General features: G+C 37.1%; 1 long non-coding RNA gene across 1 annotated transcript in view; it reads left to right on the forward strand.

The window, feature by feature from the left end:
- LOC105374958 (uncharacterized) overlaps positions 1-25,651 on the forward strand; it is a 119,161-nt gene that overhangs the window by 64,857 nt on the left and 28,653 nt on the right. The window lies entirely within an intron of this gene.

Here is a 25,651-nt window from a genome sequence, read left to right on the forward strand (position 1 = left end):
ACTGAATTATTTCAAAACTTACTGAATGAGAAGTTATTATCCACTTGGCTCTCTTGATTTCCAGAGTCAACTTAGAAGAGCAGATGTTCCGTTTCTTTCCCCAGGCGCTATCTATCCCAGATCGGGGGCTCTGGGAACTGACAGAGGTGTCGACAGATCTCCCACATACATCCTGATTCATGATAAAGGGAGCCTGACTGAAAAAGTTCTCACTCTCTCGTATCACACTACTGACTGTGACAAACATCAGTAGATCCTTTTTTTTTTTCTACTACCATGAATAAGAATATCATTTTACCATTTCTCTCAGAGCACAGAAGCAAATAGAAAGGAAGAATCCCATTATTTTCATTGCATAAAGCTATCTTGGGCTCTGTTCATCAGAGAGTTCAATTTTGCTGAATAATTCTCTATAGACACGAATGATAGAAGAGGGGATCATTACCCATCTGTTTGCCCTCTCGGCTTTTGTTCAGCCCTTATTGTCTTTTCAATCTGGATCCATCTGATTGCTTTAGTGACGCAGGAAGACATCACCAAATATGAGCACATTCCCAGGCCCAGGAGCCTCTCGCCACACTGAGGCAGAATGATACAGAGTATTTTGCCTTGGAGCATTTCAGCAAACTGGGGCTGGAATACGATGCTTAAGGTCAAAGCAATGGCATCTGTAGCTGGGAAAGGGCCAACGGAGATCATTTTTATCTTCTACTGTACACATGCAGTCTATTTATCACCAGGCATCAAGACCTTTACTGAACAGCCAGGAAAATCACAGAGAGCAGAGCTCTGGTCTCTGCTGTCAGAGGTGCTATTTGTATTATTTTGCCTTGTTTTTCCCTGGAACCTCATATAAAGCTTTTTCAGGCTTGGGCAAAGCTTTGCTTGGATTTTCGTGTCAAGAAGACAAATTTAAACTGGAGTTTGGAAAGGAAGGAGAGACTTTTGAGCAGTATTATTTCTGACTTCCAGTTTGTAGAATCCACAGGAAATTCTTTTTGGGAAATGGATATGGTTGCCAAATTGTATAAACTTAATTAGAAAATAAAATGATTGTTTTCTATCAAACCACATCCACTTAAGCCCCATGTGAAAAACCCATCTCTAATTCTCTTCTGACATTCTTTTTGATGTGAGCAGAATTACAGATTATTAAATAGAGACAGTTTAGAATCAAAACCTTTTCATTGCTGAAAATTGCCTTTCACTTATTTTGTAAAGTCCACCTGACTTTCTACGAGCCCTATTATAGAAAGGAAATTGTAGCTATACTTAAATCCTTTCAATTCACGCTCTTAGATCCAATAGGATGTAAAAGGTAAGAGAAACACTAACATCTTACAGGGCCTGGGTTCAATTCTACACTGAAAACACACACACACACACACACACAAAACACCCTATGTCCTTTACATCTCAGAACTTCATTTTCCTCACCAATAAAAATACAGTTGAACAAAATTGCTTCTAAAGTCCTCTCTTTTTCTGAAAGTGTCTTTTCCTTGATAGTATTTCCTTCGAGTAACATTTGCACTATGTATTTACTATTTCTCTATATTGATTTTGTGGCTACTCTATTAACTAGAAACATACTTACCTTTGTCTTCATGAGTGTAACAGGCCAAAATGGAGAAAGTGACATGACCTTCAACCTTTAAAAGCACGTTGTCCTAAACAATTTCTGGGCTGTGCTCCTAATGTACTTGTGATTATGCCTCTTGTTTCATTTAAGATTTGGCAATAAGAAATTTAGAAAGAAGATGCCTATTATGTTTTCATTCTCTCCCCTACCCATTTTCATTTAACAATGCACTGCTATGCTATCATGTACTTATTTTGTAATTTACTGTTAATTTTTGTGACACCATCATAATCAGCATTTCAAAGCATATTTGAAAGATGCATTGTTTCATGCCGTTTTTGTACAGTAAATTGCATTTTGATGTTATCCATTTTCAAGGTTGCTAAAGCACACTCATAACAGGTCATCATGATCCTAGATAAAAACAACCCAGAAGCACCAGATTACACATCCCAACTTAAAAAAATACAGGGATCTGATTTTGCTTTTCAGATTCAAAGAACTGGCTTCATCCTGTACTTCTTCAGTGCTTGAGGGAAAAATATAATAAGATATTAAGATATAGCTTCAAAATTCTGCTCCTCGAAAGTCCTGTGTAGTGTTCACTTACATTTCTGAGAAATAAAGAGAAGAGGTTAATAAGCCACATTTACTAAGTCTCTTCTATCATATATTCCAGATGCCGAATACTTTTGCTTCTAATCCCTAAGTGGGTAGTAGTATGCTTATACTGCAGATGAGAGCTAAATGTTTGCAAATATTTTAGAAATTGCTGTATGTTTCACAAAAAGAAAATACACATCTTTTCGAATTTGTTTTTTCTCTGTCTGGTATTTCACAAGGAGGACCAAGGTTTAAATATTTTTCCGTCTTGCAAAGGATCTTTACTGAGCCAACCATAATGGAGCATGTAATTCATGAGCCCAAAGTCCTTCTCTGCTATAGAAGCATCTACTTGCCCTACACTTTTTATGATAAAAGAGGACACAGTCCCTCCCTCCCTCCCTCCCTCCCTTTTTCTTTTGTTCCTTTATTTTTCATTTATTTAAAGACTATGTTTTTAGAATATTTAAAGCTCACAGCAAAATTAGGAGAAATGTACAGAGATTTTCCATATGACCCTTGCCCCTTCACATGCATAGTCTGCCTTATTATCAACATCCCCCTTCTGAGTGGTACATTAGTTAGCATTAATAATCCTCCATTGACACATCATTATCACCCAGAGTCCATAGTTTACCATAGTATAATCTATGGGTTTGACAAAACATATAATGACATATATCCACCATTATAGTATCATATAGAATAGTTTCACTCCCCTAAAAATACTGTGTGCTCTGTCTATTCATGCCCCCCTCCCCAACCCCTGGCAACCACTCATCTTTTTACTGTCCCCATAGCTTTGCCTTTTCCAGAATGTCATATAATTGGAATAATAAGTATGTATCCTTTTCATATTGTCTTCTTTCACTTAATTATATGCATTTAAGTTTCCTCTATGTCTTTTCATGGCTTGATAACTAATTTCCTTTTAACACTGAATAATATTCCATGGTCTGGATGTACCACAGTTTATCTATTCACCTACTAAAGGACATTTTGGTCACTTCCAAGTTTTGGTAATCATGAATAAAACTGCTGTAAACACCTGAGTAACAGTTTAGTCCACAAGTTTATGTGTGGGCATAAGTTTTCATCTCCTTTGAGTAAATACCATGGAGAGTAATTGCTAGATCATATGGTAAGAATATGTTTAGTTTGGTAAGAAACTTCTGTTTTCCAAAGCTGCAGTACTATTTTGTATTCCCACCAGCAATGATTGACAGTACCTGTTGTTCCACATTCTTGTCAGCATTTGGTTTTGTCTGTGTTACAGATTTTGGCCATTCTAATGCGTGTGTATTGCTATCTCATTATTGTTTTAATTTGTATTTTCCTGATGACATAGGAAGTGGAACATATTTTCATATGCTGATTTGTCACCTGTATATCTTCTTTCAGATGCGTGTTGCAGTCTTTGGTTTATTGTTTAAATCAGGTTATTTTCTTATTGTTGAGTTTTTAAGTTTCTAATATATTTGATATATATAAATAATATATCAAAATAGTTGTATTTTGGGGCTGATGCTTTGTGTTTTAAAAATTTTTAAATTAGAAACTCAAATTTTTAATAGATATATCAAAATAGTTGTATTTTGATATATTGTATCAAAATATAGTTGTATTTTGATATATTGTATCAAAATATAGTTGTATTTTGATATATTGTATCAAAATATAGTTGTATTTTGATATATTGTATCAAAATATAGTTGTATTTTGATATATTATTTGATATATTTGATATATATTATTTTATATATTAATATATTATTTTGATATAAAAGTATTTGCAAAAAGACTCATGTGATAAAGACCTATATAGTAGTACTAATAGGACTATGTAATAGTCCTTTATGATTTGTGTCTTTTTGCAAATATTTTCTCCCAGTCTGTGGCTTGTCTTCTTATTCTCTTGTCATTGTATTTAACAAACCAGAAGTTTCTGGGGGTTTTTTAAGTGTAGCTTCTCAATTTTTATCTCATTATTTGTGACTGGTGTTTTATTCAAAAAGTCATTACCATACCCAAAGTTTTTTATATTTTCTTTGATGCTATCTTCTAGGAGTTTTATAGTTTTTCTTTTTTTCACTGAGGTCTATGATGCATTTTGAGTTAATTTTTGTAAAGTGTGTGTGGTCTTTGTCTAGCTCACTGTTTTGCATGTGGCTCTCCAGTTCTAGCACCATTCACTGAAAGACTATTGGTTGCCTATCTTGATGTGGGTCTATTTCTGGGATCTCAGTTCTCTTCTTTTGATCTATTTCTTTATTCTTTAACTAATATGACATTATCTTGGTTTCTATAGATTCATGGTAAGTCCTGAAGTCATGTAGTGTCAGTTCTCAAACTTTGTTCTTCTTCAATTTTGCATCAGGAATTATGGGTTTTTGCCTCTCCATAAAAACATTAGAATCATTTTGTTGATATCTACACAATAACTTATTGGGATTTTTGTTAGGATTGCATTGAATCTATTTTTTCTATTTTTTTCTTCTTTTTTTTTTGAGATGGAGTCTTGCTCTGTCACCCAGGCTGGAGTGCAGTGGCACTATTTGAGCTCACTGCAAGCTCCGCCTCCCTGGTTCACGCCATTCCCCTACCTCAGCCTCCTGAGTAGCTGGGACTACAGGCACCCACCACCATGCCTGGCTATTTTTTTTTTTTTTTTTGTATTTTTTAGTAGAGACGGGGTTTCACTGTGTTAGCCAGGATGGTATTGATCTCATGACCTCATAATCCGCCTGCCCCAGCCTCCCAAAGTGCTGGGATTACAGGCGTGAGCCACCGTGCCCAGCCTGCATTGAATCTATATATCAATTTGGGAGTAACTGACATCTTGAAAATACTGAGTCTTCCTAACTATGAACATGGAATAGCTCTCCATTTATTTAGTTCTTTCTTGATTTCATTGATCACAATTTCATTGTTTTTTGCATATAGATCTTATACATATATTATTAGATTTATAATTAACTATTTTATTTTGGGGGATGCTAATGTAAATGGCATAGTGTTTTGGATCTAGAATTTCACTTGTTCATTGCTGGTATATAGGAAAGCAATTGACTTTTGTATATGAATCTTATATCCTACAACTTTGCCATAATTGTGTAATAGTGTTTTTGTTTCATCAATTTTTAAAGATTTTCTTCATAAATGATTATGTCATCTGCAAACAAAACAGTTTTATTTTCCTTTCCTGTCTGTATATTTTTTACTTCCTTTTCTTGTGTTATTGCATTAGCTAGTACTTCCAATATGATGCTCAAAAGTAGTAGTGAGAGAAGACATCCTTGCCTTCCTCCTAATTTTTAAATCATTGGAAAAGCTTCAGGCTTCTCATCATTAAGATGTTAGCTATAGGTTTTTGTAGATTTTTAAAAAAATTTATCAAGTTAAAGACATTCCAGAATTTTTATCATGAATGAGTATTGGATTTTTTAAAATTCTTTTTTTCTGCATCTATGGATATGATCATGTGATTTTTCTTTTTTATAATGTTAATGTGATAGATTACATTGATTGATTTTTAAATGTTTATCCAGTCTTGAATACCTGGGATACATCTCACTTGCTGATGGTGTATACTTCTTTTTATACATTGTTGGATTTGATTTGCTGGGTTTTTTTTTTTTTTTGAGAATTTTTACATCTATCTTCATGAGAGATATTGGTTTGTAGTTTTCCTTACTTTTAACACTTTTTCCTGGTTTTAGTATTAGGGTTACTCTTGCCTCATAGAATGAGTTAGGAAGTATCGCCTCTGCTGCTATCCCCTGAAGGAGATTGTAGAGAACTGAAATAATTTCTCCCTTAAACATGTGGTAGAATTTACCAGTGACTACATCTGGGCCTGATGCTTTGTGTTTTAGAAATTTTAAAATTTGAAACTCAAATTTTTAATAGATGATAATTCAGATTGTCTATTACTTCTTGTGGAATTTTTGGCAAATTGTATCTTTCAGGGAATTGATTCACTTCATTTAGATTACCAAACTTGAGAGCATAGAGGTATTTATACTATTCCTTTATTATCCATTTAATATTTACAGGATCTGTAGTATTGTTCTCTGTTTCATTTCTGATGTAATTTATATCCTTTCTCTTTTTGCATATTAGGCATGGAAGAGGCTTATTAATTTTATTGATCTTTTCAAAGAAACAGCTTTGGGTTTTATTGCTTTACCCTACTGATTTCAGGTTTTTTATTTCACTGATTTCTGCTTTAATTTTTATTACTGCTTTCCTTCTTGTTACTTTGGATTTCATTTGCTTTTCCTTTTCTAGTTTGCTAAGGTAGAAACTTGTATTGTTGATTTTAGATTTTTCTTCTTTTCTAATGTATGCATTCAATGCTATAAATTTCCCTGTAAGCTTTGCTTTCGTACATCCCACAAATTTCAATCTGTGTTTTCCATTTTCATTTAGTTCAAAGTATTTTTAAATGTGTCTTGAGATTTCTTATTTAATTCATGTGTTATTTAGAAGTATGTTGTTTAATCTTCATGTATTTGGGATTTTTCATTTATTTTTTCAGTAATCTCTAGTTTAAGTGTATTTTGGTCTGAGAGCAGAACTTACATGATTTTTATTTTTTAATATGTGTTAAGGTATGTTTTATGGCCCACAATGTGGTCTACCTTGGTAAATGCTCTATGTGAGCTTCAGAAAAATGTGTTTTCTGCTATTGTTGCATGAAGTTGATTATATCCAGCTGATTGATGGTATTGTTGAATTCAAATATATCCTTGCTGCCTTTCTGCCTGCTGGATTTCTCTATTTCTGATGGGGGTGTTGATGTCTCCAACTATAATAATGAGTTCACCTTTTCCTTCTTGCAGCTGTATGAGATTTTGCTTCACTCAGTTCGACTGTCTGTTGTCACATTAAGAATTGTTATGTCTTCTTGTAGCATTGACTGCTTTATTGTAATGTAACGCTTCTTTTTATCTCTGATAACTCTCCTTGCTTTGAAGTCTGTTCTGGTGTGTGTGTGTGTGTGTGTGTGTGTGTGTGTGTGTGTGTGTGTGTGTGTGTAGCATGGTATATCTTTCTCCATCCATTTACTTTTAATCTATGTGTGTCTTTATATTTAAAGTGGGTATCTTGTAGACAACATATGGTTGGGTCTTGTTTTTAATTCATTCTGACAATCTTTTTTCTTTAAGTAGATCATTTAGACCATTGACATTCAAAGTGATTATTGATATTTAGATATTTAGATTAAGATTTACTTGGAACAGTTCTCTAGTTCTTTTTCTTGTTCTTATTTTTGTCCTTTTTTCTGCTATATGTGGTTTTAATCGAGCATTTTACATGATGCCATTTTATCTCCTTTCTTAGCATATCAGTTATACTTCTATTTTTATTTTTAGTGGTTGCCCTAGAGTTTGTAGTGTATGCTTACAACTATATATTATATATAAATAAGCACACATAATTATTATGGTTTGGATTTTTACATCCTCTCCAAAATTCATAGCTTGAAACCTAATCACCTAATCTGCAATGTAATAGGATCAAAAGGTGGGGTCTTTAAGAGGTAATTAAGTAATAAAGTCAGAGCTCCCATAGATGAGATTAGGACTCATAAAAAGGCTCAAGGTGGAAGAGGGAGTATACTTCCTCTCTTGCCCTTCCACCTTATATCATGTGAGGACACAGTGTTCCTCCCCTCTAGAAGTCAGGAAGAAAGGGCCTTGCCAGATGCTGGTGCCTTGGTCTTAGACTTCTCAGCATCCAGAACTGTGAGAAATAAATTTCTGTTCATTACACATTACCTAGTCTTTGATATTCTGTTATAGCTGCAGAAAATGGACAAGGACAATAATCAAATACATTGCTGTTATTATGAATTTTGAACAAACTGTTGTCTAATCAATTAAGAATAAGAAAAACAAAAATTTCTATTTTATCTTCACTTATTCTTTTTTTAATACTCTTCTTTATGTAAACATGAGTTCTGAACTATAGTATTTTCCTTCTCTCTAAGGAACTTCTTTTAACATTTCTTACATGGCAGTTCTACTGGCAACAAATTCCTCAATTTTTGTTTTTCTGAGAAAGTCTTACTACATCTTCAGTTTGGGAGGATAATTTTGCAGAGTGCAGAATTCTAGGTCAGTGGCATTTTTTTTCTCAACACTTTAAAAATCTCTTCCACTCTCTTCTTACATGTATTATTTCTGAGGAAAAGTCATATATAATTATTTTCCTTGCTCCTCTAAAGGTAAAGTGTTTTTATCCTGACGTTTTCAGGGCTTTTCCTTCATCTTCGGTTTTCTGTAGTTTGAAAATAATGTGCCTAGGGAGGTGGGACAAGATGGCCTACTAGATACAACCAGGAAGTGCTACTCCCACCAAGGAGACCAAATTATTGAGTAAACCACCATAACTTGGGTGTATCTTCAGATAGAAAATGCCAAGAGTGGATGTAGAAACAATATTGAAGCTTAAGCTAAAGAGGAAGGAAGTTTAGACCCTTGAGTGGGGTACTAGGAGTACTAGGAGTAGTTTCTGGCCCTGAATGGTTCATGGGAAAAGGATTAGTGAGGGAACTGAAGGATGGCTCACTCTCACTGTGGACCTCTTAGATCCTAGCTACGGGTGACTGCATCCCCTGTGATTATGTGAGCAGGCATAGGGATCTGCCTCTCCACAGAAACAGAGACAGGCCTTCAGATGACATAGAGCTGGGAAGCTTTTGTGAGCTGGGCAGCTTCGCCAGAGAGTGGCCATGGACGCCCATCCCCCAGGGCTCCGCATCCCTTTCCAGGAGCTGTAAGTCTCAACTGACCTCTAAGCCAGGAGGCAGCAGGGCTAGCTCCCCATTGGACCTAGGATGCATCTGTTCCAATGGGAAGATGCAAGCTCCCCTGCCCACCAGCCCTTCCCAGGGCTAGTCAACTGCAGGAGCAGGTGCACAGTGCTGTCCTTGCATGCCATACTGAGTGCATTTCTGTACCTGAGTACTTTCCTGGTGACCTGGGAGCACATAAGATCCCCCTGTGCAGCTGGAACCCGACCCCAAGCTGTGGGATGTTCTGGTGTCCCAAGAGCTGTGGTGTTCAGCTGGGGAATATGGAGATATTGCAGGGGAGAACCCCGACCCTCAGAGCATTGAGAAGGGCAAGATGCATGGGTTCCTGGGCCAGGGCAGGAGTGGGGCATGCCTTCCTCTACAAGGCCAGTCTAGAAATGGTGTGGCTTATCTCCCTGCTGCAGCCTCTGCCTGAGAGAGCCCCACAGCCCAGAACATCTAACAAAAGCAATGTGGATGCATTGCCAGTGATCAGAATGGCTCCCCCAAGTCCCAGGAATGAACCTGGTGAGGAGGCTATGCCCCACCTCAACCACAGAGCACACTTTGAATGTCAGAAAATACAAAAGAGCTGTGAGCGTGGGTATTAACCTAGCTACCGACCATTACTCTTAAGTGACATCTACTGGATTGCAGCCCAAAAGACAATACCATAAAGATTGCCGCTAATATGTATACCTGTGAACCCAAATGCAAGAATTCATCCACACATAAAGGTCCTGTACAGAGCCCTTGCCCTATGAAAACAACAGAAACAAAGCCAACTGCTTATACCTAACTTACACCAGAGTTAAAGGAACACTAATGCTAGATGACGAGTTAGTGGGTGCAGCACACCAGCATGGCACATGTATACGTATGTAACTAACCTGCACAATGTGCACATGTACCCTAAAACTTAAAGTATAATAGTAAAATAAATAAATAAATAAATAAAAAGAATAAGAAAAAAAAAAAAAGGAACACCAACCACCCAGATGAGAATCAGTGCAAGAACTCTGGTAATTCAAAAAACTAGAGTGTCCCCTTACCTCCAAATGAATCCATTAATTCCCCAACAAAGGTTATTAACCACTTTAAAGTAACTGAAGTGGCAGACAGCATCCAGGATTTGGATGGCAAGGAAATTCATCAAGATTGAGGATAAAGTTAAAACCAAATCCAGAGTCCAGTAAAATAATCCAAGAGCTGAGAGATTAAATAGCCATTTAAAGAAAGAACCAAACTAAACTTCTAGAGCTGAAAAACTCACTATAAGCATTTCATAATACAATCAGAAATATTAATATTAGAATAGATAAAGCTGAGGAAAGAATCTCAAGAGTTTGAAGACTGGTTCTTCAAATCAACTCAGACAGGAAAGAAAAAAGAATTTTTAAAAATGAGCAAAACCTCTGAGAAATACGGGATTATGTAAAGATACCAAATCTATGACTCACTGGCATTCCTAAGACAGAAGGAGAGAGAATATGCAACTTAGAAACTATATTTGAGGACTGTAATTAGGTCATTCTTGCTTTGCTATAAAGAAATACCTGAGACTGGGTAATTTATAAAGAAAAGATGTTTAATTGGCTCACAGTTGTGCAGGTTGTACACAAAGCATAACACAGGTATCTGCTTCTGGGGAGACCTCAGGAAGCTCCCAATTATGGTGAAAGGTATAGGGGGAGCAGACATCTCACACTGGGGAGCAGGAGCAAGAGAGAGAGGAGGAGGTGCCACACACTTTTAAACAACCAGATCTTGCAAGAACTCACTCACTATTACAAAGACAGCACCAAGGAGAAGGTGCTAAACCATTCATGAGAAATCCACCCCCATGATCCAATCACCTTCCTGCCTGGCCCTACCACCAACATTGAGGATTACATTTCAACATGAGATTTGGGCAGGGATAAATATCCAAACTATATCAAGGACATAGTCCACAAAAATTTTCTTAATCTCACTAGAGAGATTATACATGCAAATCTAAGAGATACAGAGAACCCCAGCTAGATACTGTGTAAGATGACTATCTATCTCTAAGGCACATAGTCTGATTCACAGAGGTCAATGTAAAAGAAAAAATCTTAAATGCATCTAGAGAGAAGGGCCAATTTACATAAAGAGGGAACCCCTTCAAGGTAGCAGCAGACCTCTCAGTAGAAGCCTTTCAAGCCAGAAGAGAATGGTGTACTATTTTTAACATCCTTAAAGGAAAGAAATTTCAACCAAGAATTTTTATATTCTGCCAAACTAAGTTTCATAAGTGAAGAAGTAAAGTCCTTTTCCAGACAAGCAAATGCTAAGTTGATACCTTTCAACTAGACCAGTCTTACAAGAGGTCCTTAAGGGAGTGCTAAACAGGGAAACAAAAGACCATTATTGGCCACCACAAAAACATACTTAGGTACATAGCTCACAGGCATAAATATAAAGCAAGGATACAATCAAGTCTATGTAAAAAACAGCTAACAACAGGATGAAAGGATCAAATTCACACATATCTATACTAACCTTGAATGTCAATGGGCTAAATGCCCCACGTAAAAGACAGACTGGATAAAAACATCAGACCAAATCATCTGTTGTCTTCAAGAGACCAATCTCACATGTAACAACACCAACAGCCTCAAAGTAAAAGATGGCCAAAAAAAAAATCTACCATGCAATGAAAAACAAAAAAGAGCAAGAGTCACAATTCTTACATCAGATGAAACAGATTTTAAATCAATAAAAATGAAGGACAATGAAGGGCATTACATAACGATAAAGGTTGCAATCTGACAAGAAGACTGAATTATCCTAAATATATATGCCCCCAACATTGGAGCACCTACATTTAAAAAACAAGTTCTTCTTTCCCTATGGAAAAACGTAGGCAACCACACAATAATAGTGAAGATTTTAACTCCCCACTGACAGCATTAGATAGATCACCAAGGCAGAAAACTAACAAAGAAACTCTGGACTTAAACTCAACACTTGACCAACTGGACATAAGAGACATCTACAGAACATTCCACCCAACAACTATAGAATAGATCTTTCTCATCTGCACATGGAACATATTCTAAGATTGATCAGATACTCAGTGATAAGGCAACACTCAACAACAAAAAAATAGGGAAAAAATAGGGAAAACATACTAAGCACATTTTTGGACCATAGTGCAATAAAAATAGAAGTAAATATCAAAAAGACCTTTCAAAACTATACAAACATATGGAAATTAAACAACTTGTTCCTAAATAATTCTTGAGAGAACATTGAAATTAAGATGGAAATAAAAAAATTATTTGAAATTGACAAAAATAGGGACAGAACTTACCAAAATCTCTGGGATGCAGCTATAGCAGTGTTAAGAGGAAAGTTTATAGCCATAAATGCCTTCATCAGGAAGTTAGAAATACCTCAAATTGACAATCTAACTTTGCACTTAAAAGAACTAGAAATAAAAGGAACAAACAAACCCCAAACCTAGTAGAAGATAAATAACTAAAATTAGAGAAAAATTTATGAAAATTTAGATGTAAAAATCCATACAAAAGATCAGTGAAACCAAAAGTGGATTATTTAAAAAATTAACAAGATTGATAGAGTGCTAGTTAGACTAGCAAAGAAAAAAGAGAAGATCCAAATAAGTACAATCAGAAATTACAATGATGATATTAAAAGCTATCCCACAGAAATAAAAAAGCTCTTTAGAGAATACTATAAACAAATTTATACACACAATTTAGAAAATCTAGAGGAAATGGACAAATTCCTGGAAACACACAATCTCTTAAGATTGAATCAGGAAGAGATTGAAATCCTGAATAGACCAATATCGAGCTCTATAATTGAAGCAGTAATAAACAACCTACAAACAAAATAAGTCCTAGACCAGATGGATGCACAGCTGAATTCTACCAGATGTACAAAGAACTGGTGCCAATCCTACTGAAACTATTCCAAAAAATCAAAGAGGAGGGATTCCTCCCTAACTTATTCTATGAAACCAGCATCAGCCTAATACCTAAATCTGACAGAGACACAATGAAGAAAGAAAAATTCATGCCAATATTCCTGATGAATACAGATGAAAAAATCCTCAAAAAACATTAGCAAACTGCATCTAGCAGCCCATCAAAAAGTTAATTCAACATGATCAACTAGGCTTTATTCATGGGATACAAGGTTGGTTCAACATACACAAATTAATGTGATGCACCACATAAACAGCATTAAATATCATATGATCATCTCAACAGATGCAGAAAAAATGATTAATAATATCCAAAATCCTTCCTTCATGATAAAAACCCTCCACAGACTAGCTATCGAAGGAGCATACCTCAAAATAATAAGAGCCATCTATGACAAACCCACAGCCAACATCATACTGAATGGGCAAAAGTTGGAAGTATTCCCCTTGAAAACTGGAACAAGGCAAGGATGCTCACTTTCACCACTCCTATTCAACATATTACTGGAAGTCCTAACCAGAGCAATCAGGCAGGAGAAAGAAATAAAAGGCATCCAAATAGAAAAGTAAAAGTCAAATTATCTCTTTTGGCCGATCACATGATTCTATACTTAGGCAACCCTAAAGACTCTGCCAAAAGGCTACTAGAACTAATAAAAGATTTTAGCAAGGTTTTAGAATGCAAAACCTATATGCAGAAATTGGTGGCATTTCTGTACGCCAGTAACATCAAGGCTAAGAGTCAAATGAAGAACACAATCCCGTTTACAATAGCCACAAAGAAAATGAAATAGCTAGAAATACATCTAACCAATGAGGTGAAAAATTTCTACAATGAGAACTATAAAACACTGTTCAGAGAAATCAAAGATGACACAAATAAATCAGAAAACACCCCATGCTCATGGAGTAGGAGAGTCAATATTATTAAAATGGCCATAGAGCCCAAAACTATTTAGAGGCTCAACACTATTCCTATCAAACTGCCAAAATAATTATTAACAGAATTATAAAAAAGTATTTTTAAATTTATATGGAACCAAAAAGAGCCCAACTAGCCAAGGCAATCCTAAGCAAAAAGAACAAAGCCAGAGGCATCACACTACCTGATAAGGTTTGGCTCTTTGTTGCCATCTAAGTCTCATGTTGAATTGTAATCCCCAATGTTGGAGGAGGGACCTGGTGGGAGGTGATGGGATCATGGGAGTGGATTTACCCCTTGCTGTTGTCATGAGAGTGAGTTCTTACAAGATCCGGTTGCTTGAAAGCGTATAGCACTTCCTTCTTCACTCTCTCCTCTTTCTCCTGCCAGCTTGTGAAGATGTGCTTGCTTCCCCTTCACCTTCCTCCATAATTGTAAGTTTCCTAAGGCTTCCTCAGCCATGCCTGCTATACTCCATGACACTATAAAGATACGTCAACCAAAACAGCCTGATACTGGTACAAAAACAGATGCATAGACCAATGGAACAGAACAGAAATCTCAGAAATAAAGCCACACATCTACAACCATCTGATCTTCAACAGGGCTAACAAAAACAAGCAATGGGGAAAGGACTACCTATTCAATAAATGGTACTGGGATAACTAGCTAGCCATATGCAGAAGAATGAAATTAAACCCTTACTTTTCACCATATACAAAGAATAACTTAAGATAGATTAAAGATGTAAATGTAAGACCTCAAACTATAAAAAGCTTAAAAGAAAACCTAGGAAATACCTTTCTCGGCATCAGCCCTAGCAAAGAAATTTTGACTAAGTCCCTCCAAATAGTTGCAACACAACAGATATTGACAAGTGGGAGCTAATTAAAGAGCTTCTGTACAGCGGAAGAAACCATCAACAGAGTAAACAGACAACCTCAGAATCCGAAAAAATATCTACAAACCATATATCTGACAAAGGTCTAATATCCAGCTTCTATAAAGAACTTAACCAATCAGCAAGCAAAAACCAACCCCATTAAAAAATGGTCAAAGGATATGAACAGACACGTCTCAAAAGAAGACATGTAAGTGGCAGACAAATATATGAAAACAAGTTCATCATTACTAATAATCAGAGAAATACAAATCAAAACCACAGTAAGATACCATCTCACACCAGTACGAATGGCTATTATTAAAAAGTCAAAAAATAACAGATATTGGTGAGGTTGCAGAGAAAAAGGAATGCTTATACACTGCTAGTAGAAATGTAAATTAGTTCAGCCACTGTGGAAAACAGTTTGGAGATGTCTCAAAGGACTTAAAATAGAACTACTATTTGACCCAGCAATCCCATTAGTCAGTATATACCCCAAGGAATATAAATTGTTCTGTGATAGGTCACATGCATGTGTATGTTCATTGTAGCACTATTCACAATATCAAAGACATGGAATCAACCTAAACGCCCATCAATGGTGGACTGGATAATGAAAATATGGTACATTTATAACATGGAATACTATGTAGACATAAAAAAACACCTCAAATCATGCCCTTTGCAGTATCATGGATGGAGGTGGAGGCCATTATCCCATGTGAGCTAACAGAGCATCAGAAAACCAAATACTGCATATTCTCACTTATAAATGGGAGCAAAAAATTGAATACACGTGGACACAAAGAAGAGAACAATAAACACTAGGGCCTACTCGGGGGTAGAGGGTGGGAGGATGGTGAGGGTCAAAAAACTACCTATCAGGTCTTATGCTTATTACCTGGGTGGCAAAATAATCTGTGCACCAATTTCCTGCAACACATAATTTACCTATTTAATGAGATTTAAAAGCAACCTAAGTGTCCTTCAACAGATGAATAAAGGAAATGTGGTACATATACCCAATATAGTACTATTCAGCCATAAAAAAAGAAGATCCCACCATTTGCAAAAACATGGATGAAATTGGAGGTCATTATGTTAAGGGAAATAAGCCAGGCATAGAAAGACATACTTCACACATTCTCACTTATTTATGGGAGCTAAAAATTAAAATAATTGAACTCATGGAGATAAAGAGTAGAAGGACGGTTACCAGAGTCTGGGAAGAGTAGTGGGGGTGTGGTGGGAGGGAAGTGCAGATGGTTAATGAGTGCAAAAAAAAATTATAAAGAATGAATAAGATCTAATATTTGCTAGCACAACAAGGTGATTATAGTAAAAAATAATTGTACATTTAAAAATAACAAAGTGTATAGTTAGATTGTTTATAACACAAAGGATGAATGCTTGAGGTGATGGATACCCCATTTATCCTAGTGTTATCATGCACTGCATGCCTGTATCAAAATATCTCACATAACCTATAAATATGTACACCTACTATGAATCCACAAAAATTAAAAAATTAAAACATGCACAAGTACCCTGAACCTAAGAGTTGGAAAGAAAATATTAAAATTGCATCTAGTAATTTTAATTTGACATGATTTTATTTAAAGCAATAAATTAAATAGAAATCTCTATCACTAATATTCCCTATAGATTATTTATGCAATCTCTCTCTATATATTGAGAGGGAAATAAATAAAATTGAAACAAAATATGTAGATGAGAGAGAAAAAGGTAATTTTAAAGTAATATGCTTACATAAATACCCCTACCTTTGAGAAAAGCCCGAAGGGATTTGTTTTCTCCCCTGTTTACTGCGGGAACCTGGACAAGATCCTGGAGGTAAATCTCACAAAATTGGGAGGGTCCCCCTATGACTGGGTGCTTTCTAGAGTTTTTAAGTCTTAGAGTTGCCTGCACGGGGCCTCTAGCAATTTGTCAATTACAGTTCAGATTTTTCCTTCCCTGGTACTGATTCCTGCAGAGGTTTCTGCTTGTGAGTCTCTGCTCCAGTAAGCTGTGACTTCCTGCATTCACCTATCTCTCCAATCTTGGGGGCAATGCTTCGCCCTGTGTCTCACCTCTCTTACAGATTCAAGAAGCGTTGTTGATATTTTCAGTTTGTTCTGCTTTCTCCATGTTATTAGGACAGAGTGGTAACTTCCAAGCTCCTTACATGTGAAACTAGGTGGGGATATAGTTCTCAGGGACAGTGAACCCAGGCAAGTAGACAAAAGTTATCAGTGGGGAATAACTGCTGGAGTCTTATGAACAAGTTGAGTACATTTAAATTTAATTTTCTTAAATCTTTCTATAGCAGGTGAGATTTCTGGACTTTTTTCTATGATGAATACATTTGTATATCTGTCTAAAAATTAAAATTAGAGATTGTGAAAAGCTCCATGAAGTGACCTAGAAACTATGGAAATTTCTTGCAAATGCTAGATGAAGGAAAGTCAACACCAAAGGCAATCTACAAGCTGCACGCACGTTGAAAATACTGAAGGTCACACGTATGTCATTTTACCAGATGTGCATATCATCACAAATGTACATCCTCAGCAATCCCTATGGCAGGATGCCCAGGGGGAAGAGAAACGGAGACTGTATCTAGGGAAACATCCTTGGCTTCTGCCATCAAATACTGAGATTTAATATTCTTTTTACTTTTATCCAATTAACAAGTACTTTAGTCATAAGACAGAGTCCTGGAACACACCTCCCCTCCAAAAATTAATGATTTTTATTTTTAACAAGGTATTGTATTTCTAGGAACAGGAATTTCTTTGTAAGTTTTTCATTTTGTCATTTTCTAGTGCTGGAGCACTTTCCAGGATTCTATAGCTTTTTGACATTGCTGGTTACACCCTAGATATGACAACAACCTATAATCGGAGATAATGTTAAAGGTTCAGTATTTGGAAGTTGTCCTTATGAATTTAATATATTTTATTTTTCTTCTTAGCAATATCTAGTTGAGTATCTGGTTTTTGTAGAATGAAATTATTGGCACTCATATTCAAGTGATTACCCTGAGGAAATGCTCACTTCTTGCTGTTTCTCTTAGAGAATATGATAATGAATTGACAAAAAAAAAGATATAAAGGAAAAATGCCAGATTGGTTTAAATCCAGATTCCTGTTGGTACTTTGATAATGGCATATGCTGTTCTTTGTGCTAAGAACAAGAAATCCCAGTCTTCAAAACATTTGAAAGGTAATTTTATTGACAGACAAATTGTCTCACAACAAAGACCCTAGCTCATATATAAGAATTGGAAACCTGGTCAAGAATTAAATAAATAATATCCTGCCCTTTGTTTTCCCTTGAACGGTTCAGATAGAAAGATGCTTAGCACCCTGGCTGCATATTAGAGTCACCTGGGGAGTGCTGTAAACATACCATTGCTCAGGCTTTCCCCATCTCCTAGGTTTGGGTTCTGTTTTTCTGGAGTAGGGCCAGTCTTTTCAGTTCTAAAACCTGCCTGGGTGAGCCTAATATGTAGTGAGGCTTGAGAACCACTGCAACTTAGGGCAATTCTCATACATGGAGTGGAACAAAAAGATGGGAACCAGAAACGTGTAACTCAGCCAGAGGAAGAGGGGAAGGAGAGGCAATGAAAAGTTAATGTTAGTTTAGTTTGAACTTTCCTAAATTATTGAAAATCACTATTTTATGTTCCTACTCCATGACAGTGACATGGCTGATTGGAAAGACCCTGATCTTGGTGTTGAGCAAGTGATCAGGTTTCCAATGTTAGAGTCACCCCAATATTTTAGGCTCAAAGCCTCAGAAGCAAGCTTGTTAGAGTTTCTGCTTTAATTATGCCACTTTCCATATTAAGATACCAATTGATGAGAGTGAGATCAGTTTCAAGCTGGAGCTGAGACTCAGGAGTGAAAAATAAACATAAAAAATTGTTTTGTATTCCTACCCCCTCCTTCCTTCTGCTCATGGTTTGCAATCACCACTACTCCCCAACCCCTGTCACTGGCCCACAACTGGTGGAAGCCTCCACTTCTGGCCCAACTTCATCTTTATCATATATTTATGAGATAAAGATATATATGTGTATGTATATGTGTATGATGTATATATAATATATGTATATATGTCCATCTCTAGCCTACTTCAACCTTCTCCTCCCAGTTGAGAATATGACTGCATTTTTTTCCTTTTGTTTCCTTTTTTTTTTTTTTTTTTTTAGTAGGGACAGGTCTCACTATATTGCCTAGGCTGGTCTTGAACTCCTGGCCATAAGCAATCTTCATGTCTTGGCATCCCGAAGTGCTGGCATTACATGCGTGAGCCAGAATGCCCGGCCATAGCTGCCTTTCTTATCTTCTCTTGGTTCTGTAATGCTGCTTTCCTTTCTGAGGATTCTTCAACTCCAGTTCGCCACATTTATAGTCTCTCCTACTTCTAGTTCATAGGACTATTTCTACAGTTTTGTCTCCTATTCAAGGCCACTGGCCAAGTTCAGTTTTTTTCATATAATCCTGACAAATAAGCTGGATAAAAATGCTGTCTCTTTTTACAACCAGGGAATTTGAGTACCTGGAGAATGAGACTACAAAATAAAATGTGTTTGTAACATCAAATCCTGACCTTGCCTCATGCAAAATTTTAATAAAGTGAGAATGATAATGTCTCCTTAAAAGTTAGAGTTTAAAATGATATAATGCATTTCATATTGCTGCCATACATTGGCATGTTCCAACACTTAATCAAGTCTCCCCTGTGCTCCCTAGAGGCAGGCTCTCATCCAGATTGTTATTTTTATTTAATATCTCAGGTTTGGAACATATGGGATATATTCCTGTAATCCCCCAAAAGGAAGGGTGTGAAGCTTTTCTTGTTTTCTCTAAATTACTCAGGAAACTTTTACAAAATTTTTACCTACATCCATATAATTTATTATTGACAAAATATTGGTGTTTATAAATTGGGAATAGAAACGTCCACAGATGGACTTTAGGGCTGTATTTGTGTTGTTGGAATCTGGATTGCACTGAGGATATTAACAGTTGTTTCAGATGAACTACATTTTCCCTCATTTAAAGTAGACTTGACTTTTTAGACTCGTTTTGGGTTCACAGCAAACTTAAGTGCAAAGTACAGAGATTTCCCATATACTCTCTCCCCACACAAATGCATAGCCTCCCCCATTATCAATATCCACCAGAGTACTACATTTGTTTCAATTGATGAACCTGTATTGACACATCATAATCATCCAGAGTCCATAGTTGGTTTACATCAGGGTTCACTTTTTGTGTTGTGCATTCTGTGGGTATGGAAAAATGTGTAATGGCGTGTCTAACATTGTTGTATCATACACAGTAGGTTCACTGCTCTAGAAATCCTCCGTGCTCAGCTATTCATCCCTTCCTTCTCTCTAATCCCTGGAAACCACTGATCTTTTAACCGTCTCCATAGTTTTGCCTTTTTCAGAATGTTATCTAGTTGGAATCATGCAATATGTAGTCTTTGTCAATTAGCTTCTTTCACTTAGTAATATACATTTAAGTTTCTTGCATGTCTTTTTGTACCTTGGTAACTCATTTTTCAAACACTGAATAATATTTTGTTGTCTGCATGTACTACAGTTTATTTACTCATTCACCCACTGAAGGACATCTTGGTTACTTTTTGGCAATTATGAATGGAACTAAAACATCGTGTGGAAGTTTTTGTTTGGACATAAGTTGTTTTTTTTTTTAGTTTTACTTTAAGTTCTGGGATACATGTACAGAAGAACGTGCCGGTTTGTTACATAGGTATACATGTGCCATGGTGGTTTCCTGCACCTTTCAACCTGTCATCTAGGTTTGAAGCCCTGCATGCATTAGGTATTTGTCCTAATGCTCTCCATCCCCTTGCCCCCTACCCGCCGACAGGTCCTGGTATGTGTTGTTCCCCTCCCTGTGTCCTCGTGTTCTCATTGTTCAACTCCCACTTATGAGTGAGAACATGCGGTGTTTGGTTTTCTGTTCCTGTGTTAGTTTGCTGAGAATAATGGCTTCCAGCTTCATCCATGTCCCTGCAAAGGACATGAACTCATTCTTTTTTATGGCTGCATAGTATTCCGTGGTGTATATTTGCCACATTTTCTTTATCCAGTCTGTCATTGATGGGCATTTGGGTTGGTTCTAAGTCTTTGCTATTGTAAATAGTGCTGCAATAAACATACGTGTGTATGTGTTTTTATAGTGGAATGATTTATAATCTTTTGGGTATGTACCCAGTAATGGGTTGCTGGGTCAAACGGTATTTCTGGTTCTAGATCCTTGAGGAATCGCCACACTGTCTTCCACAATGGTTGAACTAATTTACACTTCTACCAACAGTGTAAAAGCGTTCCTATTTCTTGACAGCCTTGCCAGCATCTGTTGTTTCCTGAATTTTTAAAAATCACCATTCCGACTGGTGTGAGACAGTATCTTATTGCAGTTTTTAACTCTTTTGTGTAAATACTAAGGAGTACTATTGCTGTATTGTTAAAAAATGACATTTTTGTTTCAAAATTAATATTTACTGACATTTACAACATGGTAGATTAAATCCACTTTAGAATTATAATAGAACTTTCAATCAATAGACCCAACACTCAAGCAGGATGCTATACCCAATAGTTGGCTACTTTGAATAATACAAATGTCACAACTTGAGACACTTTTACTGTCTTGAATAGTATACCTCATGCTATGAGGGGCTCCCAATGAACAAACTGATGCATTGTTCTGTTTCTCATGTGTTACGATTTTCAAAGTATTATGCCCCAACTTATTTCCTTGTGCCAATGCTGTGTCTAGCTGAACTTCACTTTAAATATAAGTGATCAGAGCATGCCAGTGAACTGGTGGGGAAGGTCTAACAGAAGATATTTAGAGGGGTAGGATGAGGACAGGAGATCTTGTTTGGGGGAATGGGGAGCCTAAGTAAATGAGCTTACTATAATAGAGATATAGTTGTAAGTTAGGGGAAGTGATTCTGAATACAGCGTGATTGTTATTTTCCATGTGTATCTTACAACTTAGCTCCTCTTGGATTAGAGCAGTGGAGAATAGGGACTGTCCATTAAAGCTGAAATTATTTTATTTAGTTTTTTTCTGAGAAAAATTTACAGAACACTGGATAAACAATCTTACTTTGGAAACTCTAGACCATGGTGTAACCAGAAGAGAAAGAAGCATTTTCCCCTACCTAACCACAGATAACCCTACAGATTTAGCAAAACAAACAGTCAGTGGGCATTAGAGCCTGTCAGAGCCCAGTAGGATCCATCAATGCCAGTGTTGCCACCTATTGGGTATCTAGTAGTGACAAGAAGGCTGTACCAGGGATGTGACCAAGTAGAGTGGCAATGGGGCTTGGCAGAGCAGACTTGATCGAAAGCACAGGTGTAATAAACTTGGGAATTTTCAGCCTGTAGTAGTGAGACCTGGAGGGAAAGTAACACTTCAGGGATGTGGAGCAACAAGGTAGAAGGAGCCTGGGTCCCCAGATGACCCCATGGAGCCAATTCACAATGCTAGCCCTGCCCATGTCTCTCTGGGCCATTAAACAACAGAGATAAAGTTGTCTCCATTTGCCACAATGTTATTTTGGGTCTCTTCTAACTGCAGCAGATCTTATATTCTAGTAATGCCCTCTTTCTCAGTTAGACCATCCTCCACACCATGCTCTTTTGCTAACTTCTGTCTTCCCCTGTGGATATTCCTCTATACAGTCTGTCCTTCAGTTATTTCCTATCCCCCTGCCCTATTTCCTGTGAAAACATACATGTGACTTGAAAAATGGCTCAGAGCCCTATTAAGATGTTCTTTAAGAAACTAAATTTTGATTTGTTTGTTTTTTAGAGACAAGGTCTCACTCTGTTGCCCAGGCTGGAGTGCAGTGGTGTGATCATGGCTCACTGCAACTTTAAACTCCTGGGCTCAACCAATTCTTCCACCTCAGCCTCCCTAGTAGCAGGGACTACAGGTGCTCATACCATGCCTAGCTAATGTGTGTGTGTGTGTGTGTGTGTGCGCGCGCGTGCATGTGCATAGAGAAAGGATTTCACCAAGTTGCCGAGGCTGGTCTCAAACTGATGGTCTCAAGCGACCCTCTCACCTCAGCCTCCCAAAATGCTGGGATTACAGGTGAGGGCTACCTTGCACAGCTGAAACTAAAATTTTATAAGTGGTAAATATTACTTACATTTTTAAGAAAGGCTTTTGTTGTAAAAGGAAGAAGGAGAGGCTGACGGTAGGGATGTCAGGCAGGTGACTGACAAAGGAGCTGACACTTTTGTGCCTGGGCCCTGTAGGCATCCTTCAACTAACATTTTAATTGTATCACTGCCCCAACTTGATATGTGTATTTGTCTGACACTGAGGGAGGAAATGCACAGAGCTCTCCTGCAAGTATCCTTTATAGTAATCTCAGTGTATTTCCTACAGTATGGCTCATCTGAACTGCTTCCACTCTGAGAACTTAATATTTCCCAAGATGTAAGGCTAAGAAAATAAAAATAATTAAGTGAAAGACATTCACATGGTCAATATTCAAGAGTATTCAGACTAATACAGTTACAAACAGGTTACTTTGCTTTGCTATAATAGTCTTTTTACTATATATATGTATCCCATAACATCGCGTTGTATACTAACTACACACAATGAAATTTATATTAAAAATGAAAACAAATATGGAGCTGTTGATTTCAAACCCAAATCAGAGCAGAATGGACCTGCCTGAAGTCTGTATCTTCTCTCTGTTTTAGCATATACCTTATGAGATGTTGCTCTGTGGGATATAATATGTCTAGAACGGTGTCCCTCACATCACAGGTGATTAACAAACATTATTGAATTGATGATGAATGACTGTGCTATGTGAATAACATTAAGCAGGTAAATCACCCCTTGTTAAGCTTCTTATGCATTTCTAGTCCCTAAGAAACCCTGTGTATGTGACAGACATGGAAAACACATCAGCTAGAGAAAAAAATTAGAAGAATAGTTAAAGGGTCGAGGAGAGAAAATGAAAAGAAAGACAAAATTGATGACTCTCTTTTTGTATTCAGCACTGTATTCCTAGAATAAAATTTCTTTATTCAGCAGCAGAGTTAATTTACATCCACTAAGCCCAGGACAAGGCATCAGAAGGTGGGAAGGAGCAACTCTAAGGCATTGAGAGTATTAATTTCTTTCAAAAATGGGAAAACACAGACACAATTGCTGGCAATTTCTAGCAGTAACTTAAGATGTTGTAGAAAATATTCCTACAGAAACACAAGTACCATGACAGGCTTCAGGTAGGTGGTATGTATTTTTACTTCTTGCAGTAGATACAAACAAACAGGAAGAAAGTGCCAGCTTCCACTTGTAAGGCTCACTGAAGCTAAATCAAGCATTGCTTAGTTCAGAGGAATGGGTTAATTTTCTATTCACTGAATTCCGCATGCCTGACAGGTTGTTGATGACTTATTTTTATTTGCTTAGCTTATTCCAGGTTGTATCACCTGGAATTCTCTCAGCTTGATCAAAATGTAGTTCTAATCAATGAGCAGCCTCTGATTCCAGTCTTTTAAGGAGGACCATGCCTGCACCTGCTCAGCACACACTCACCCGGTGATCTTTGGCAGAGGGTGCTGCTTCTTTCATGAACATGTTCTCATGCAACACCTTCCTCAGTGCTCATTGCAACAACCTGTCCTCAAATTGAAGCTGCAGCAGATCAGTGGTGTGCTGGTAAAGGTTTAATAAGAGGCTCTGGGGTTGATAGTTGACTTTGTGAGAAGGGAACCCTCATCTGTAGCATTTGCCAGTTTCTATGGGTAGAACTACACCTACCATGACATATTTTGGTGTTTATGTGAAGCCACAGAGCCCAGAGTTGGAAAGAGATGTGCACAATTGATTCTCAGGAGCTGGTACAAGCTGGCTGCAGCACACCTCTACGTGTGCAGCTGACCACCCTCCAGGTCCTTCCTGAAACCCACTATTCCTTAACCTCTGAGGTTGAATACTACATCAATATTTCTCTTAAGAGTATATACTTAGAAAGGTCTCATGGCTGGTTTTCCTCTCTAGAATTCCCACAGGGGCTAATATATATTTGTTCAACTTTCCGACAACGTGACTCTCTGATCCTGCCATTAAAAATCACCATCCCCTGCCATCCCTTTTCCTTCTCTCTTTCCTCTTTAGCTCTGTTCCACCTGTCCCTGCTCTCACTGCTGCCTTCTTTCTACTAGTCCCGCAAATAGTTCCCTTATCTCCTGTCCTTCTTTTTTTTTTCTTAACTACTTCCCTCACAATGACCCAAATCATGGAAGTAGCCTGTCCCTCCTGATCCAAGCAAGTGTCTAAAGACTATGCTGCCTTTGTCCGAGAAAATAAATGGCATTCTTCCTGTTCACCTCATTGAGTGAGATGGAGGAATCAGAGTACTGCTTTCTCTCTACTGCCTCTTCTTGGCCACTGCTACATTCACATTTCTAAAAACTAACTCATATTTTGTGGTACCTCTTATGTTCTGATGTCATTTCTCTCCACTCCTGTTGCTTTTATCTGTAATTTCCAGGAAAGGCGCCAAACATCCCTGATGAGTTAAGCACCAGATTCATACGTCTTTTCGTTTCCCTTTATTTTGTCATTATTCTGATGAGTTTCAGCTACCACTTACTTTTATAAGCACACTCTGGCTTTTTGCCCTCATGCATCATTTATTCTAGCCAAAACAAACTGTTTTCTCATATACACATTTTCTTCTCTCCTGTCTCAGTAGCTATGGCAATTATTTTCCACTTGGTCCCTACCCTGCTCCATTTTCTACCTCAAGCTGTGCTCCAGAGCTGTTCCTACTGACTGTGTTTCTTG

The sequence above is a fragment of the Homo sapiens genome, chromosome 6 (genome assembly GCF_000001405.40).
Source record: "Homo sapiens chromosome 6, GRCh38.p14 Primary Assembly".
Lineage (NCBI taxonomy): Eukaryota > Metazoa > Chordata > Mammalia > Primates > Hominidae > Homo > Homo sapiens.